The sequence below is a fragment of the Homo sapiens genome, chromosome 16, assembly GCF_000001405.40.
Source record: "Homo sapiens chromosome 16, GRCh38.p14 Primary Assembly".
Classification (NCBI taxonomy): Eukaryota; Metazoa; Chordata; class Mammalia; order Primates; family Hominidae; genus Homo; species Homo sapiens.
The window spans coordinates 236096-254800 of NC_000016.10; the positions used below are offsets into that span (position 1 = coordinate 236096).

Sequence of the window (18705 nt, forward strand, 5' to 3'; positions counted from 1 at the left end):
GTGCCCGCCACCACACCCAGCTAATTTTTTTTATTTTTTATTTTTAGTAGGGGTTTCACCATGTTGGCCAGGCCAGTCTCAAACTCCTGACCTCAGGTGATCCACTCGCCTCGGCCTCCCAAAGTGCTGGGATTACAGGTGTGAGCCACCGCAACTGGCCCTCTTTTTTTCCTTTTGCTCCACCCTCCTGAGTATCTGGGACTACAGGCATGTGCCACCATATTTATTTTTCTTAAAAATTTTTTTTGGGTGGGCGCAGTGGCTCATGCCTGTAATCCCAGCACTTTGGGAGTTTGGGGTAGGCGGATCACTAGGTCAAGAGATCGAGACCATCCTGTCCAACATGGTGAAATCCCGTCTCTACTAAAAATATAAAAATTAGCTGGGTGTGGTGGCGCACACCTGTAGTCCCAGCTACTTGGGAGGCTGGGGCAGGAGAATAGCTTGAACCCGAGAGGCAGAGGTTGCAGTGAGCCGAGATTGCACCACTACGCTCTGGAGACATAGCGAGACTGTCTCAAAATAAATAGGCCGGGCGCGGTGGCTCACGCCTGTAATCCCAGCACTTTGGGAGGGCGAGGCGGGCGGATCACGAGGTCAGGAGATCGAGACCATCGTGGCTAACACGGTGAAACCCCGTCTCTACTAAAAATACAAAAAATTAGCCGGGCGAGGTGGCGGGCGCCTGTAGTCCCAGCTACGCGGGAGGCTGAGGCAGGAGAATGGCGGAAACCCCGGGGGGCGGAGCCTGCAGTGAGCCGAGATCGCGCCACTGCACTCCAGCCTGGGCCACAGCGAGACTGTCTCAAAAAAATAAAATAAAATAAATAAATAAATTATTTTGTAGGGATGGGGTCTCTCTTTCTCAGTCTGGTCCTGAACTCCTGTGCCCAAGCAACCCTCCTTTGTTGGCCTCCTGAAGTGCTGGAATTATAAGTGTGAGCCACTGCGCCCAGCCTGTTTATTTATTTATGTATTTTTTTAAAAAAATATGTAGATGGGTTCTCACTGTGTTGCCCAGGCAGGTCTCAAACTCCTGGCTTCAAGCAGTCCTCCTGCCTTGGCCTCGCAAAGTGTTAGGATTACAGGTGTGAGCCACCATGCCCACCCCTTCTTTTTCTTTTCAGGCTCCTTGCTTCCATTCTGCTGACTTCTAATGGTTGTCTGCTGCTTGTAACAACACAAAGTTTAATGGATTAAAGTGACGAATATTTATTATCCAACAGTTTCTGTGGGTCAGGAATTGATCAGTGGCTTATCTGGGTGATTATGACTTCGGGTCTCATGGAGTTGCAGCCAAGATGTTGGCTGGGGCTGCAGGTGTCTAAAAGCTGGATGGAGTCTTTTCTGTTTTTTCTAGAGGTCGAAAATTTAAAAAGAACAAATAAAATAAAAGCTGGACCAGGGCTGGAGGATCTGATTCCAAGATGGCTCACTCACAAGGCTAGTGACTGGAAGCCTCAGTTCCCTCTTGGCTGGTGGCAGGAGCCCTCAGTTCCTTGCATCATGGAACTTTCCTTAGGGCCCATGTCCTCACATGGTAATTATCTTCCCTTAGAGCAAGTGATCTCGGAGTGAAAGTGGAAGGTTTCCACCACAAAACCTGTTAATGAAATTCTTTTTTTTTTTTTTTTGAGACAGAGTCTTCCTCTGTCACCCAGGCTGGAGTGCAGTGACGTGATCTTGGCTCATTCCGCCTCCCTGGTCCAGCTATTCTCTTGCCTCAGCCTCTGGAGGAGCTGGGACTACAAGCACGTACTACCACGCCCAGCTATTTTTTTTATTTTTAGTAAAGACGGGGTTTCACCATGTTGGCTGGGCTCGTCTCAAACTCCTGGCCTCAGGTGATCCTCCCGCCTCGGCCTCCCAAAGTGCTAGGGTTACAGACTTGAGCCACCGTGCCTGGCCTATGTTATTTATTTTTATTTATTTATTTATTTTGAGATGGATTCTCGCTCTGTTGCCCAGGCTGGAGTGCAGTGGCTCCATCTTGGCCCACTGCAACCCCCGCCTCCCAGGTTCAAGCGATTCTCCTGCCTCAGCCTCCTGAGTAGCTGAGATTACAGGTGTGCATCACCATGCCGGGCTAATTTTTGTGTTTTTGGTAGAGACGAGGTTTCGCCATGTTGGCCAGGCTGGTCTTGAACTCCTGATGTCAAGTGATCTGCCCATCTTGGCTTCCCAAAGTGCTGGAATTAGAAGCATGAACCACCGCCCCCGCCCCTGTCCGAACATTTTTAAACCACTATGCAGCTTACCACTCCTGTGGGACAAGAGTGCCTGGTCCTATGATTTCAGCTGGGGTGCTGGCCGTAATCTCTGGGAATCTGATTAGTTAGCTAGGGCCAGGCCTAATTTATTAATGAATGCATTAATAAATTACTGTTCTGGCCAGGCACGGTGGCTCACGCCTGTAATCCCAGCCCTTTGGGAGGCCAAGGGGGGCAGATCATGAGGTCAGGAGATCGAGACCATCCTGGCTAACACAGTGAAATCCCGTCTCTACTAAAAATACAAAAAATTAGCCAGGCGTGGTGACGGGTGCCTGTAGTCCCAGCCACTCCGGAGGCTGAGGCAGGAGAATGGCGTGAACCCGGGAGGCGGAGGTTGTAGTGAGCAGAGATCGTGCCACTGCACTCCAGCCTGGGCGACAGAGTGAGACTCCGTCTCAAAAAAAAAAAAAAAAAAAAAGAAAAAAAAAATCCCTGGCTGGGCGTGGTGGCTCAAGCCTGTAATCCCAACACTTTGGGAGGCTGAGGTGGGTGGATCACGAGGTCAGGAGATCGAGACTATCCTGGCTAACATGGTGAAACCCCATCTCTACAAAAAAAAAAAAATTAGCCGGGTGTCATGGCACGTGCCTGTAGTCCCAGCTACTCAGGAGGCTGAGGCAGGAGAGTTGTTTGAACCCAGGAGGCGGAGGTTGCGGTGAGCTGAGATCGCTCCGCTACACTCCAGCCTGGGCGACAGAGCGAGCCTACGTCTCAAAAATAAAAAAAAAATACCATCCTGGCTAACACAGTGAAACCCCGTCTCTACTAAAAAATACAAAAAATTAGCCGGGCATAGTGGCGGGCACCTGTAGTCCCAGCTACTCGGGAGGATGAGGCAGGAGAATCGCTTGAACCCAGGAGGCAGAGGTTGCAGTGAGCTGAGATTGCACCACTACATTCCAGCCTGGGCGACAGAGCAAGACTCTGACTCAAGAAAATAAAAATAAAAATAAATAAAAATTGTGCCGGATGCGGTGGCTCACGCCTGTAATCCCAGCACTTTGGGAGGCTGAGGTGGGTGGATCACGAGGTCAGGAGATCGAGTCCATCCTGGCTAACGTGGTGAAACTCCGTCTCTACTAAAAATACAAAAAAAACTAGTCGGACGTGGTGGCGGGCACCTGTAGTCCCAGCTACTCGGGAGGCTGAGGCAGGAGAATGGCATGAACCCAGGAGGCGGAGCTTGCAATGAGTGGAGATTGCGCCACTGCACTCCAGCCTGGGTGACACAGCTAGGCCCCGTCTCAAAAAAAAAAAAAAAAAATTAACACTAATTTGTGGGGGAGTTGCAGGAAATCTGCCTTGGAATTCAGGAGAAAGGCTTACTCCATGGTATTTTCTGGACAGACTACAAAACTTATTCTGTGTAATAGTTGCCTATCAGCTGTTCGCCCTCAACTTATTTTTAGGAGGCATTGTGAGCCCTTCTCAAGTACTGTAAAAGTTTTTCAGTTCTGCAAAGGAAAGGAACTTGTGTTTGGGCTTTTGAGTGCTGACTGCATGTGCTGTGATACTTTTGCCTTTGTCATGGAACCATGATCTTTAAAGTGGTTCTGGAAAAATGGTTATGGGCCTGTTCTTTGTCTTGAGATTATTCTTGGTGGAGAGAGAAATAGCTGCTTGCTGTAAACAACTGGACACAGTAGCTGTCCTTGTCTGACATCTGCTTTGCTCAGCTGAAACATCTGCCTCATTGGCTGTTGTGGGTGTCTCTGAAGCTCATGTTGAATTGCTGTCAAATGCCCAGCGTGTTCTTGGTGGTGACACAGCCACATTGTGTAAATACATTTCTTAAGTCATTTGTGTGTATAGCAGCTGGATTTGGGGACAAGCATTTGGGCACACTCGCTACAAGATTGGTTAGTGATTATGGATGATGAAGTCTGTCGGAAAATTCAGATCTTGATTGTGAGTTATCTTACTTGTCTTTTAAGTTCTCTTTCATCCATTTGGCTCAGGGGACACAGCAGACATCTTCCTGGCCTTAAATAGCTTTCTTTCTGCCAGGTAAGAGAAGTATGATGAGTGCTTTGAAAGAAAAATACTGAGTTCTCTGGGGTGGAGTGTGGTTAACCAGGGTCAGTGGGGGTCACCCCAAACTTATTTAAGGCTTGAGCCGCTGCATCTGGGTGTATTTTTTTTTTTTTTTTTGAGACAGAGTCTTGCTCTTGTTGCCAAGGCTGGAGTACAATGGTGCGATCTCAGCTCACTGCAACCTCTGCCTCCTTGGTTAAAGCGATACTCCTGCCTCAGCCTCCCTAGTAGCTGGGACTACAGGCGCGTGCCACCACGCCGGCTAATTTTTGTACTTTTAGTAGAGATGGGGTTTCACAATGTTGGCCAGGTTGGTCTCGCACTCCTGACCTCAAGTGATCCAGCCGCCTAGGCCTCCTAAAGTGCTGAGATTACAGTTGTGAGCTACCACACCCAGCTGGGCTTATTATTTTTAATCCATTGACAAAATCTTTTCAGTTTCTGTTTCTAACTGGTGAAACTAGATAGTAACATTAATCTATAATCATAGTTTTCCTCTAAATATTAACTAAATATTTTATCCATTTAAAACACTGTTTTCTTCTCTTTTTTTTGAGACAGGGTCTTGCCCTGTTGCCTAGACTGGAATGCAGTGGTGTGATCTCCGCTCACCTCCCAGGCTCAAGGGAACCTCAGTCTCTCGCACAGCTGGGACTAGAGGCACATACCACCATACCCGGCTAGTTTTTGTATTTTTTTGTGGAGGTAGGGTTTTGTCATGTTGCCCAGGCTGGTCTCGAACTCCTGCGCTCGAGTGATCTTCCTGCCTCCTGCTGTAGCCTCCCGAAGTTGCTGGGATTACAAATGTATGCTACTGTGCCTAGCCTTAAAACACTTATCTTGACCGCAGAGGAGGTCTACACAAAAAGAAAGAAAAAAAAAAAGCTGTCTGCTTCAGGCTGGGCACGGTGGTTCACACCTGTCATTCTAGCACTTCGGGAGGCAGAGGTGGGAGGATCACATGAACCCAGGAGTTACAGAGGAGCCTGGGCAACATAGTGAGGCTCTCATTTCTACAAAAAATTTAAAGATTAGCTGAACAAAAATTAGCTGGTGCATGCCTGTGCTCCCAGCTACTGGGGAGCCTGAGGCGGGAGGATCTCTTGAGCCCGGGGATTCAAGGCTGCAGTGAGCCATGATTGCACCACTTCATTCCAGCCTGGGCAACAGAGCAAGACCCTGTGTCAAAAAAAAAAAAGTTTTCATCAAATTTCTGCAATTAAAAAAATTAGAGGCCGGGCGCGGTGGCTCAGGCCTGTAATCCCAGCACTTTGGGAGGCCGAGGCGGGCGGATCACGAGGTCAGCAGATCGAGACCATCCTGGCTAACACAGTGAAACCCCATCTCTACTAAAAATACAAAAAATTAGCCGGGCTTGGTGGCGGGCACCTGTAGTCCCAGCTACTGGGGAGGCTGAGGCTTGAAACCAGGAGGCGGAGGTTGCAGTGAGCCAAGATTGCACCACTGCACTCCAGCCTGGGCGACAGAGCGAGACAACGTCTCAAAAAAAAAAAAAAAAAAGGCAATTAGAATGAGACTTTTGTTTTTATTTTCTGTTCTCTGTGACTCAGTAAACTTCTTAGAGAAAGAACTCTTGGAGAAAAGGGAGAGACCTGTCACTTCCTTTCTGCATGGACTGTGGTATTCCTGCCCCACCCCTGCCGAAATGTTAATGAGCTGTGCAAACTACTGCTGGATTGTTTTGTTCTTCCCCCTAATCAGAGTTTCCACTCAGGACTGGGTAGCCTGTGGACTCCCTGGAGGACAGATAGGTGTGGCAGCCTCAGTGGCCTAGAGTGGACAGCTGGTTTACCGATAGTCCTTTTTTTTGAGACAGAGTCTTGGTCTATCACCCGGGCTGGAGTGCAGTAGTACGATCTTGGCTCACCACATCCCCTACCTCCCAGGCTGAAGTGATTCTCGTGCTTCAGCCTTCCCAGTAGCTGAGACTATAGGCAGACACCAACATACCCACCTAATTTTGTATTTTTAGTAGAGTCGGGGTTTCACCATGTTGGCCAGCCTGGTCTTGAACTCCTGTCCTCCAGTGATCTGTCCACCTCGGCCTCCCAAAATGCTGGGTTTATAGGCACGAGTCACCGCGGGCTTACTGATAGTTCTGTAGGCCAGGGGAATAATCCGTTTGAATAACCATATATGAGGTATTGTGTTTATCTTTCTTTCTTCAAGTTATTCTTGGTGTCAGCTCCTTTTTTTTTTTTTTTTCTGAGACAGAGTCTCGCTCTGTCGTCCAGGCTGGAGTGCAATGGCGCTATCTCAGCTCACTGCAACCTCTGCCCCCCGGGTTCAAGCGATTCTCCTGCCTCAGCCTCCTGAGTAGCTGGGATTACTGATGCACATCACCACGCCTGGTTAATTTTTTGTATTTTTAGTAGAGATGGAGTTTCACCATGTTGGCCAAATTGGTCTCGAACTCCTGACCTTGCGATCCACCCACCTCAGCCTCCCAAAGTGCTGGGATTACAGGCGTGAGCTACCACGCCCATCCCGTGTCAGGTCTTTTACCTTAATTAATACGTATTGTATTGACAAATTTTCTTTTCTTTCTGAGCCCTCACTTTTTTTTTTTTTTTTGAAACAAGGTCTCACTCTGTTGCCCAAACTGGAATGTAGTGATAATGATCACAGCTCACTGCAGCCTCAACCTCTTGGGCTCAAGCTAACCTCCCACCTCAGCCTCCCAGGTAGCTGGGACTACAAGCACATGCCACTACACCTAATTTTATTTTACTTTTTGTAGAGATGGGGTCTCCCCATGTTGCCCAGACTGGTCTCGAACACCTGGCCTCAAGTCATCCTCCTGCCTCAGCCTCCCAAAGCACTAGGATTATAGGCGTGAACCACCCTGCCCGGCCATGAAGTTAAATTTTTGGTTATTAGCTTGTTGAGTTCTGTTTTCTGTTTTTTTAAATAGCCACATGGCCTGACTCTCTGTGGTCAATGGTATGGATGCTAAAGTAGAGCAAGGACAGTGCCCTGCTCAAGTCTCTCTGACCTGGGTCCATGGGGATTTTCTCTGCCAGTCAGGTTCCTGAAGCTCTGGCTACGGCTCCTGGTATTTTTAATGACCGCAGTAGAGAAAAACATTGGTATCTTCTTGCTGTTGATGAGCAAATCTTTGGACCTGTCTCATGGTGTCTTTATTTGCAAACTGGTTGAATCATGAACTGCCTGGCTTTGGCTGCCTTGCCGTTGTGGCTTTTAATAACTACCCCTATTTCTGGTGGCTCAGTCAAGTTTCCAAAAAGGAAGTCTTACCTGGAGATCCTGTGAAGGAATTCCTGACCAGCTTTTTAATTTTCCAAAGACAGGCCTTATTCGTGTTAAACACACACCCCTTTTCTGTGGCCAGGCCGGTGTGAAAGCATGTGCAGAGGCTGTATAGCAGTAAGAGTTCCCACCCCTTGGGGCATTTTCATTGTCACCACATTGTCTGACTTTGGAGACGACCCCTTTTAAACTCTGGCATTTGCTCAGGTAAGTATTTGGGGAGTATTGTTATAAATGCTGTGCATATCCGTTTTTTCCCCACAGTGGAAAGGAAAATGATTTTTTTTTTTTTTGAGTCGGAGTCTTGCTCTGTCACCCAGGCTGGAGTGCAGTGGTGCCATCTCGGCTCACTGCAACCTCCGCCTCCCAGGTTCACACCATTCTCCTGCCTCAGCCTCCTGAGTAGCTGGGACTACAGGCACCCGCCACCACGCCCGGCTAATTTTTTCTATCTTTAGTAGAGATGGGGTTTCACCGTGTTAGCTAGGATGGTCTCGATCTCCTGACCTTGTGATCCACCCGCCTTGGCCTCCCAAAGTGCTGGGATTACAGGCGTGAGCCACCGCGCCCGGTCGGAAAATGATTTTAATGGATGGTTTTGAGGAAGCTGGTGATTATTTTGTAATGGAGAATTGTAACATGCCAGGGGTTTGGCTCTTCTTTCAGTATTTCTTCAGGCTACCACAAAACTCCACTATTGATATTCTTCCAAAAATAAACAAAACACTAAAAGGACTCCTGCCTTTGGAACAAAATAGCTTCATATTAAGGTAGCTTTGAGGCACAAACCAAGCTGCCTGTGGAGAAGCTGGTTCTTCCTCTAAAACTTACATGAACCTCTGACCCCACTCCCCCTTACTAACGGTTTTCTTTTCTCTTTTGATTTTCTATTTTATACTTTTTATTTTGGACTACTTATAGATTCACAAAATGTTGTAAAAATAGCACAGGGCTGGACCCTGAAGTCTGCTTCCCTGAATGGTAACCTCTTTTTTTTTTTTTTTTTTTTTTTGAGACGGAATTTTGCTTTTGTTGCCCAGGCTGGAGTGGAATGGCACGATCTTGGCCACTGCACCCTCTGCCTCCCAGGTTCAAGTGATTCTCCTGCCTCAGCCTCCCGAGTAGCTGGGATTACAGGCATGCACCACCACGCCCGGCTAATTTTTTTTTGTATTTTTAGTAGAGATGGGGTTTCTCCATGTTGGTCAGGCTGGTCTCAAACTCCCGACCTCAGGTGATCTGCCCGCCTCAGCCTCCCAACGTGCTGGGATTACAGGCATGAGCCATCGCGCTCGACCAATAACTACCATTTCAAATTCCCACGACTATTGTACTGCAGACCTGTTATCGTATATTCTCACCAACACATTTTAAAATGCTTAACTTTTAGGCTGGGCGTGGCCCACACTTTGGGAGGCTGAGGCAGGCAGATCACTTGGGCCCTGGAGTTTGAGACCAGCCTGGGCAACGTGGCGAAACTCTGTCTCTACAAAAAATACAAAAATTTGCCCGGCGCGGTGATGCACACCTGTGGTCCCAGCTACTTTATAGGCTGAGGTGGGAGAATCTCTCGAACCCAGCAGGAGGAGGTTGCAGTGAGCCTAGATCACCACTGCCCTCCAGCCTGGGCCACAGAGTGAGACCCTGTCTCAAGATCAGATAAAATGAAATGCTTAACTTTTGTTAATGTCATTGGTCCTGCTGTGTCTATGAGTGAGACTGAGTGTGTTTCCCCTGGGCACCGGCCACTGGCGTGTGCTCTTCAGTGAACTGCCCAGTTATGAATTCGTTTCCTGTTTCCCCACTGGGGTCCTTGCCTTTCTTTTGTGGGTTTGTGAAAACCCTAAGAATATTTATCCTGGTTTGTTTTGTGGAGCTAACAACAATCTTTTGGCTTCCCTGGGCCACGTTGGAAGAATTGTCTTGGGCCACACATAAAGTACACTAACACTAATGATAGCTGATGAGCTGAAAAAAAAAAATTGCAAAAAAATCTGTGAATGTTTTAAGAAAGTTTCTGAATTTATGTTAGGCCACACTTCAAGCCATCCTGGGCCGAGGGTTGGACAAGCTTGGGTTAGACATTTCATAATATATTTAGTTCATCAGTGTTTTTCTTAATGATTTCCACCTTTGGGGTCATGCGTTCAAGACTTTCCCTAACAATACATAAACATTCTCTTCTATTTTCTTTTAGTTTAATGTTTGTTAAAAATAATGTTTACATTTTTGGCCAGGCGCAGTGGCTCACGCCTGTAATCCCAGCACTTTGAGAGGCTTAGGTGGGCAGATCACGAGGTCAGCAGTTCTAGACCAGCCTGATCATCATGGTGAAACCGTCTCTACTAAAAATACAAAAATTAGCTGGGTGCGGTGGTGGGTGTGGTGGTGGGTGCCTATAGTCCCAGCCACTCAGGAGGCTGAGGCAGGAGAATCGCTTGAACCCAGGAGGCAGAGGTTGCAGTGAGCCAAGATCACGCCATTGTACTCCCGCCTAGGTGACAGAGCAAGATTCTGTCTCAAAAAAATAATAATAATAATAATAATGTTTACATTTTTAATTCATTTGGAGTTTATCTTGATTGGTGGATTTTTTTTTTTTTTTGTGACGAGGTCTCACTCTCACCCAGGCTGGAGCACAGTGGTGCAGTCTCGGCTCACCGCAACCTCTGCCTCCTGGGTTCAAGCAGTTCTCCTGCCTCAGCCTCCTGAGTAGGTGGTGGCTTTTTTTTTTTTTTTTTTTTTTGAGATAGTCTTGCTCTGTCGCCCAGGCTGGAGTGCAGTGGTGCGATCTTGGCTCACTGCAAGCTCTGCCTCCCGGGTTCACGCCATTCTCCTGCCTCAGCCTCCCGAGTAGCTGGGACTAAAGGTGCCCGCCACCACACCCGGCTAATTTTTTGTATTTTTAGTAGAGATGGGGTTTCACCGTGTTAGCCAGGATGGTCTCAATCTCCTGACCTTGTGATCCGCCCGCTTTGGCCTCCTAAAGTGCTGGTATTACAGGCGTGAGCCACCATGCCCAGCCAGCTGGTGTTTTTTTTTTTTCGATCGATTGGTGTTTTGTTTTGTTTTGTTTTGTTTTTGTTTTTTTCTTTTTTTGAGATGGGGGTCTTGCTCTGTTGCCCAGGCTGGAGTGCAGTGGCACGATCTTGGCTCACTGCAACCTCTGCCTCCCAGGCTCAAGTGATTCTCCTGCCTCAGCCTCCTGAGTAGTTGGGATTATAGGCGCATGCCACCATACTCATCTAATTTTTTTATTTTAGCAGAGGTGGGGTTTCACCATGTTGTTCAGGCTGGTCTCGAACTCCTGACTTCGTGATCTGCCTGCCTCGGCCTCCGAAAGTGCTGGGATTACAGGCGCAAACCACCACGCCCGGTCAGTTGGTGGTTTTTTAATTGATTGATTGTTGGTTTTGTTGTTTTATCGATGTTTTGTTCTGTTTTGTTTTGTTTTGAGACAGAGCTTTACTCTGTGTCACCAGGCTGGAGGGCAGTGGCGTGATCACCACTCATTGCAGCCTCCACTTCCTGGCTTCAAGTGACCCTCCCACCTCAGCTCCTGGGTAGCTAAGACCACAGGCGTGTGCCACCACACCGGGCTGATTTTTTTTTTCTTTCTTTTTAGAAACGGTCTCACCGTGTTGCCCAGGCTGGTCTTGAACTGAACTCAAGCTTTCCATGCGCCTCGGCCTGGCAAAGTGCTGGGATTATAGACATGAGACAACACTCCCAGCCTTATTAATGATTTTTTTTTTTTAAGAGAAGTCTTGCTGTTGTCCCTCAGGCTTGAGTGCGATGGCTCAATCTCGGCTGACTGCAACCTCTGCCTCCCAGGTTCAAACAATTCTCCTGCCCTTGACTCCCAAGTGACTGGGATTAAGGTGCCCGCCACCACGCCCGACTAATTTTTGTATTTTTTAGTAGAGATGGGGTTTCACCATGTTGGCCAGGCTGGTCTCGAACTCCTGACCTCAGGTACTCCGCCTGCCTTGGCCTCCCAAAGGGCTGGGATTATAGGCGTGAGCCACCGCGCCTGGCCTTATTAATGATTTTTAAATCAGTTTCTCACAAACTCTTTTGATCTTAGATCAGTCTGTGTTTTTCATAAATGCCTCAACGGCTGGCTCGGTTTTAGAAACCTGTGTTTGTCAGTTAAAATGATGATCCTCCCAAAAATGTTCAGTGCCATTTTCTACCCTGACCTGGGTTCGCCCAAGTGGTGGGAGAGTCCCCATGGAGGCACTGCGGGGCCTGACTGTCTGGGAACCCTCTCAGAGTGGAGCCCAGTGCTGGGTTCAGGTGGGTGCTCATCTGGTTAAGTCAATTGCCTGCATTGTTTTGCGTCCCGTAATGGGGCTTTGCCTTCTGAAGCCTCTGTTTCTGTCTTCCCTCACACGTATGTGATATGTCTTATTTCATTCTGCTCTGCAGGTGAGGACACTGGACCAATTGTAGATGCTCACAAGACACAGATGACCCAAATCCCCAACCGTGTTACTAATGAGCATTTAGAGAGTTTTTTCCCTTTGTCCTTCTAAATCTTGTTACAGAGATGGTCCGTGCATGGGGGAAATGTTTGTCCTTTCGGCCAGGCTCTCCAATTCAAAAGGCAGGAATTGAGAAAATGACAGTACTTTCTCTGTCCCTGCCACAGAATGTCCAGTTTGGTCTGATTTAACATGACAAATCATGCTGTAGAGATAAGTAAGTAGTTTGAATTTTATTTTTCCTTTAATTTTTAGAAGCCACCTTATAACTCGACCATTCTAGTCACATTTTTTTCATATAGATTGTATACTTTATATACTCCATGCTTATCCACATAGAGAATACTTCTGGAAGGACCCATATGAAACTGGTACCATGCTTCCCCTCTTGAGCCTGGGAGCCACAAGATGAAAGGAGATTTACCCTTTTATAGTTTTTAAGTTTTGTGGGTTTTTTTGAAACAGGGTCTTGTTCTGTTGCCCAGGATGGAGTGCAGTGTCCTGGCCATCGCTCACTGCAGCCTTGACCTCCCGGGCTCAAGCAATCCTCCTGCCTCAGCCTCCTGAGTAGTTGGGACTATAGGTGCCCACCACCACACCTGGCTGATTTTTGTATTTTTGGGTAGAGAAGAAGTGTCCCCTGTTGCCCAGGCTGGTCTCAAACTCCTAGGCTCAAGCGACCCACCTGCCTCAGTCCCCCAAAGTGCTGGGATTACAGGTGTGAGGCAGTGCACCTGGCCCTTTTAAATGTTGTATATATTTATTACTGATTTTTTAAAATTATAAATCCAAACTACATTAATAGTAATTGTCTTGCAGGGTCCTTTGGTCATAGCTTACATATTAGAAGAAGGATTAAGAAAGGGAGTGATATAATTTACTAGCTTGAGGTCTGCATTTGGATTGACTTTACTAAGCTTGCTGTGAACTCCAAGGAACAGAAAACCCAGAATACAGGCCGGGCGGCATCTTCAGAGGAAGAGGCCCTTTCCCCTTTGCCTTGCTTGCTTCCAGGCTGGCTGTGGGGGGATGCAGTCTCCCCTTGAGGGTCAGGAGATGTCTGGCCATCATCTGGTAGTTAGAGTGGGATGAACCGAACAAGGGCAGACTTCTCGGTCTGTTCTTCTCTGCTTGGCTCCACCCTGGAATCAGCTGGAGAGTGCCAGCAGCTGCTCCTGACTGGGACCCCACACCCAAAGTGGCCAACTTAGTCCTTCTGGGGGTGGCATCAGGATTGCGAAAGCACCCAAGTTATTTTCATGTGGAGCCACCACTGAGAGTCATGTCTTTGGGAGGATCTAAGTTCCTGACCTGCCACCTTCGCAGGCTGCCTGAGCTGCACTTGACAAGTGGCTTTATGATCCCTAGGTCCACCTGGGCTTGCGAAGGCACAGATTCCCCGTCCACAGCTCACGACCAGATGCACCAGCAGGAGTCCACATCGAGGACGTCCTCCGGGCACTCCCACGACCAGGTAGGTGAGGACTGGTGGGCCCGTGGCTGGATGGGTGGTGTTTTCAGATTCCTGGTGGTGGCGGTTGATGCCCCTCCTTGAGTAGTGCTTTCCTGCACGCTTTCTTTGATGCTCTAGCTCCCACCAGATGAGGACAGCTGAGGCTCAGAGCTCGAATTTCTTGGCTGCAATTTTAAAGCTCTTAAGTTTAAAGCCGTAAAGATAGAAATCCAGAATTATAACATTCTGGTTCTTACTCCGTTTTTTTCTTTCCTTTGCCAAAGGAATCTATGTTTTATTTATTTATTATTTAAAAAAAATTTTTCTTTTTAGACGGAGTCTCGCTCTGTCGCCCAGGCTGGAGTGCAGTGGCGCGATCTCGGCTCACTGCAAGCTCCACCTCCCGGGTTCACGCCGTTCTCCTGCCGCAGCCTCCTATAGGCGCATGCCGCCACACCCAGCTAATTTTTTGTATTCTTAGTAGAGACGGGGTTTCACCGTGTTAGCCAGGATGCTCTAGATCTCCTGACCTCGTGATCCTCCCACCTCGGCCTCTCAAAGTGCTGGGACTACAGGCGTGAGCCACCGCGCCCGGCCAGGAATCTATGTTTTAAACATTTCACACATCCCTTCCTTGGGGACATGGTGGCTAGATTTGCTGAATTAATGGCCGTCTCCTCTTCTTCCAGCCCTGGCCCCAGCCCCTCAGGCCCTGGCAATGAGGCACTCCTACGTTCTGTTGCTGGCTTTTTCCCTAGTTACCTTTTCCAGACAACCCACGTCCTGCCTTCCCCACCCCCATGCCAGCTGCTTGGGTTTAATGAGGTCCTTGGTCGCGACTCATTGTTTGATTTTCCGTGTTCTAACTCACTGCCTTTGATAAGCACACCTTTTCTGACTTCCAAGATGTTAAAACTTAAGCCTCAGCACCTAGGAGAATGCACACATTTTTTCTTATTGTGGTAAAATGTACATAACGTAAAATTTGCCATTAGTAACATTTGGTATGATCACAGCATTTTGTAACCATCACCACTATTTTCATCATCCCACAAAGAAACCCTCAGCCCATAGCAGTCATTCCCGACTCTCCCTGTTCCGCACCTGGCCCCCACGAGTCTACTCCCTGCCTCTGTGGATTTGCCTGTTCTGGGCGTTTCACACTACAGGGGACCTTCGTGTCCTAGTCATTGCATTTAGCATAATTTTATAATGTGTCAGAATTTTAGTTTTTACCATGGCTGAAAAACACACCACTGCATTATGGTGTAATTATGCACTGTATTATGGATAGGCCACATTTTGTTTATCCATTCATATGTTTTGTTTTGTTTTGTTTTTGAGAAGGAGTCTCCCTCTATTGCCCAGGCTGGAGTGCAATGGTGCAATCTTGGCTCACTGCAACTTCCACCTCCCGGGTTCAAGCGATTCTCCTGCCTCAGCCTCCCGAGTAGCTGGGATTACAAGCGCCTGCCACCATGCCCATCTAGTTTTTTTGTATTTTTAGTAGAGATGGCTTTCACCATATTGGCCAGGCTGGTCTCGAACGCCTGACCTCGTAATCCTCCCGCCTTGGCCTCTCAAAGTGTTGGGATCACAGGCGTGAGCCACTGCGCCCAGCCGATACGTTCATATGTTGTTGGACATCTGGGTTGTTTCTACATTTTGGCTGTTGTTAATAATGAACCAATATGAACATTTATTTACAAGTTTTTGTTTGAGCCTCTGCAGTAGGGTTTTTTTTTGTTTTGTTTTTTTTGAGATGGGGTCTTGCTCTGTCACCCAGGTGGCAGTGCAGTGGCGTGATCTCAGCTCACTGCAGCCTCCACCCCCCTGGGCTCTAGTGATCTTCCTACCCCAGCCTCCGGGTAGCTGAGACCACGGGCGAGCGCCGCCATACCCAACTAATTTTTTTGGTATTTTTAGTAGAGACAGAGTCTCGCCACATTGCCCAGGCTGTTCTCAAACTCCTGAGGTCAAGCACTCCACTCACTCGGACTCCCAGAGTGCTGCGATTACAGGCATAAGCCACCATGCCTAGCCAGGTTTTTTTTTTTTTTTTTTTTTTTTTTTAAGAGATGGGGTCTTGGCCAGGCGTGGTGGCTCATGCCTGTAATCCCAGCAGTTTGGGAGGCCAGTGCGGGTGGATCACGAGGTCAGGAGATCGAGACCATCCTGGCTAACATGGTGAAACCCCATCTCTACTAAAAATACAAAAAATTAGCCAGGCATGGTGGCGGACGCCCATAGTCCCAGCTATTCGGGAGGCTGAGGCAGGAGAATGGTGTGAACGGGGGAGGCAGAGCTTACAGTGAGCCAAGATCATGCCACTGCACTCTAGCCTGGGCGACAGAATGAGACTCCGTCTCAAAAAAAAAAAAAAAAAAAGAGATGGGTCTCTCTGTTGCCCAGGCTAGAGTGCGGTGGCATGATCAGAGCTCACTGCAGCCTCGAGCAATCCTCAAGGGATCCTCCTGCTTTGGCCTCCCAAAGTACTGGCATTACAGGCATGAGCCACCGTGCTGGCCATGTCTCTGTTTTTCTGTTTTTTGTTTTTTTTTTTTTTTTGAGACAGAGTCTCACTGTCGCCCAGGCTGGAGTGCAGTGGCGCGATCTTGGCTCACTACAACCTCTGCCTCCCAGGTTCAAGCCATTCTCCTGCCTCAGCCTCCCGAGTAGCTGGGACTACAGGCGCCCGCCACCATGCCCAGCTAATTTTTGTATTTTTAGTAGAGATGCGGTTTTCACCATGTTGTCCAGGATGGTCTCAATCTCTTGACCTTGTGATCTGCCTGCCTCGGCCTCTCAAAAGTGCTGGGATTACAGCCGTGAGCCACCGTGCCCGGCCGGAAAGTCTGTTTTTAATTCTTGTGGGTGTACACCTAGGACTGGACTTGCTGGAGAGTATGGTAGTTCTGTGTTTAACTTTTTGAGGATCTGCCAGACTGTGTTTCACAGCAGCGGCATCATTTTACAGTCCCACCAGCAACGTACGATGTTCTGATTTCTCCACATCCTCACCCAGACTCGTCGTTTTTCCCTTTTAAAATTAAAGCCATTCTAGTGTCATACACAGGTTATTAAGTGAGTTACTTTTATTATATAATTAGGCAAAGACAAAGTCCGAGTGAACAGTTTAAAACAAAAGCCAGCAGTCCCTTATCTCTCTGTCTTCCTGACCCTTCCCCAGAGGGTGCGGCTTTCAGCTCAGCTTTTCCTCGCCTTCCCTCGCTGACCTCCGCACGCCCTCTTTCATCTTTCACCCCTCCCTTTGCTGTGAACTGTTGACTTCCTTTTTGGGTAGGTGAAGGTTTTACCTCAAATCTGCATGATCACGTCCAGTCTCTCAGTATGATGTGTTAGGACATCGGTTTGGTTGTTTAAAAGGAACCAAAATAACAAAAATCTTGCCTGAGACAAAATGGAAGTTTGTTTTTTTCTCGTTTTATACAGTCGAAGCAGCTCAGGCTGGGTGGTGGTGGTTGGCAGATATCAGGGGCCCTGTGCCTTTCCCATGTTCAAATGTGTTTTCCGTTTTGGTTTCTAAGACGGCGACTGCCGGTTTCCCCACCGCATCCACCCCCGGTCCGGCCAGCAGGAACCAGGGGAAGGAGAGGGCATGTTTTTCCCCTCAGAATTGGGGCTCAGAAGTTACTCCCAGCACCGAGCTCACTCAACACAGCTGTCCCCTGTCCTCCCCTGCGGACTTCTGTTTGAATATATTTTATTTTATTTTTTTCTAGTTAGTCTGTGCTTATCCATGAACATATTTTATTAATAATAATTAGGTAGTGTTTGAATGTTTACTGTGTATCATATGATCTTATAAGTACTTTATATGCATTTAATTTTTTTTTTTGAGACGGAGTGTCACTCTGTCGCCCAGGCTGGAGTGCACTGGCGTGATCTCGGCTCACTGCAAGCTCCGCCTCCCGGGTTCACGCCATTCTCCAGCCTCAGCCTCCCAAGTAGCTGGGACTACAGGTGCCCGCCACCGTGCCCTGCTAATTTTTTGTATTTTTAGTAGAGATGGGGTTTCACCGAGTTAGCCAGGATGGTCTTGATCTCCTGACCTCGTGATCCGCACGCCTCGGCCTGCCAAAGTACTGGGATTACAGGTGTGAGCCACCACGCCCGGCTACATTTAATTATTTAATCCTTAGAACAGGCTTCTAAAGTAGATATTGTTTGTTTTACAGATAAGGAAACTGAGGCACAGTTCAGTCAAAGCACATGTCCTGGTCACACAGCTAGGGAGGTGCAAGCCTGCCCGCCCAGAGCCCATCTTCACTCCGGGTACTTTGAATTTTGGGTCTGTGGCCCTCCAGGGAGTCCATGTGTGCGCACCTGGGTCACCTTTTCCATCTGTGCTTGAGGCTGGTGGAAGGTGGCTCAGATATGCTCAGAGGCTGAGTAGGTGGGGCTTAGTTAACACTGCCCTGGAGCTCATTGAGCATTTCCTGGGTTCGGCAGGCAGGAAGCACCAGCGTGTTCTGGATGAAAATAGTTCCTGCCTGCTGGCTCTCCACAGCTAACTCGCCTTTCCACACTAATTAGAGACCTTCTTAAGTATAATCTGTTAAGACTGACACCCTAAACATTTATTTAGCTTTTATTTCCTGGGCTGGTGGCCCATAGTTAGAGCTGCAGCCAGTCCCCAAGAAGCCGACGCCAGCAGACCCCTCTGTGCTGCAGCTTTGTGCCGTGGGACTGCTGGCCTCGCCGACCTCTTGCTTTATCGACACAGTGACCAGGAGTTAAACTTTGGGATGTGCCCGTGATGTTGGACCACAAGGACTTAGAGGCCGAAATCCACCCCTTGAAAAATGAAGAAAGAAAATCGCAGGAAAATCTGGGAAATCCATCAAAAAATGAGGATAACGTGAAAAGCGCGCCTCCACAGTCCCGGCTCTCCCGGTGCCGAGCGGCGGCGTTTTTTCTTTCATTGTTTCTCTGCCTTTTTGTGGTGTTCGTCGTCTCATTCGTCATCCCGTGTCCAGACCGGCCGGCGTCACAGCGAATGTGGAGGATAGACTACAGTGCCGCTGGTGAGCCTCGGCTTCCCCGCCCAGTGGGGTCCAAAGCAGCTCTTCCCAGGGGATGGGGCGGAGGGGGCAGAACTGTGTCTGCGAGTCTAGAAGTGGCCTTTAAACAGTGAATCAATCCC

The 18705-nt window shown here is 48.3% G+C and overlaps 1 protein-coding gene across 28 annotated transcripts in view; it reads left to right on the forward strand.

Moving 5' to 3' along the window:
* Positions 1-18705, forward strand: part of FAM234A (family with sequence similarity 234 member A) — a 35143-nt gene that overhangs the window by 1275 nt on the left and 15163 nt on the right. For 5 of the 28 annotated variants that reach the window (NR_104317.2, NM_032039.4, XM_006720957.2 and 2 more), the window contains exons 2-3: positions 13454-13559; positions 18286-18586. Coding sequence is in view for 27 of the 28 variants with exons in the window: in NM_032039.4 (NP_114428.1) it covers positions 18319-18586 (268 nt within the window). In the remaining variant the exon portion in view is untranslated. Of the gene's footprint in view, positions 1-4114; positions 4182-6522; positions 7806-12148; positions 12303-13453; positions 13560-17737; positions 17835-18233; positions 18587-18705 lie in introns of those variants that run through there. The other 23 variants (XM_047434742.1, XM_047434747.1, XM_047434749.1 and 20 more) reach the window with 13 other exon arrangements.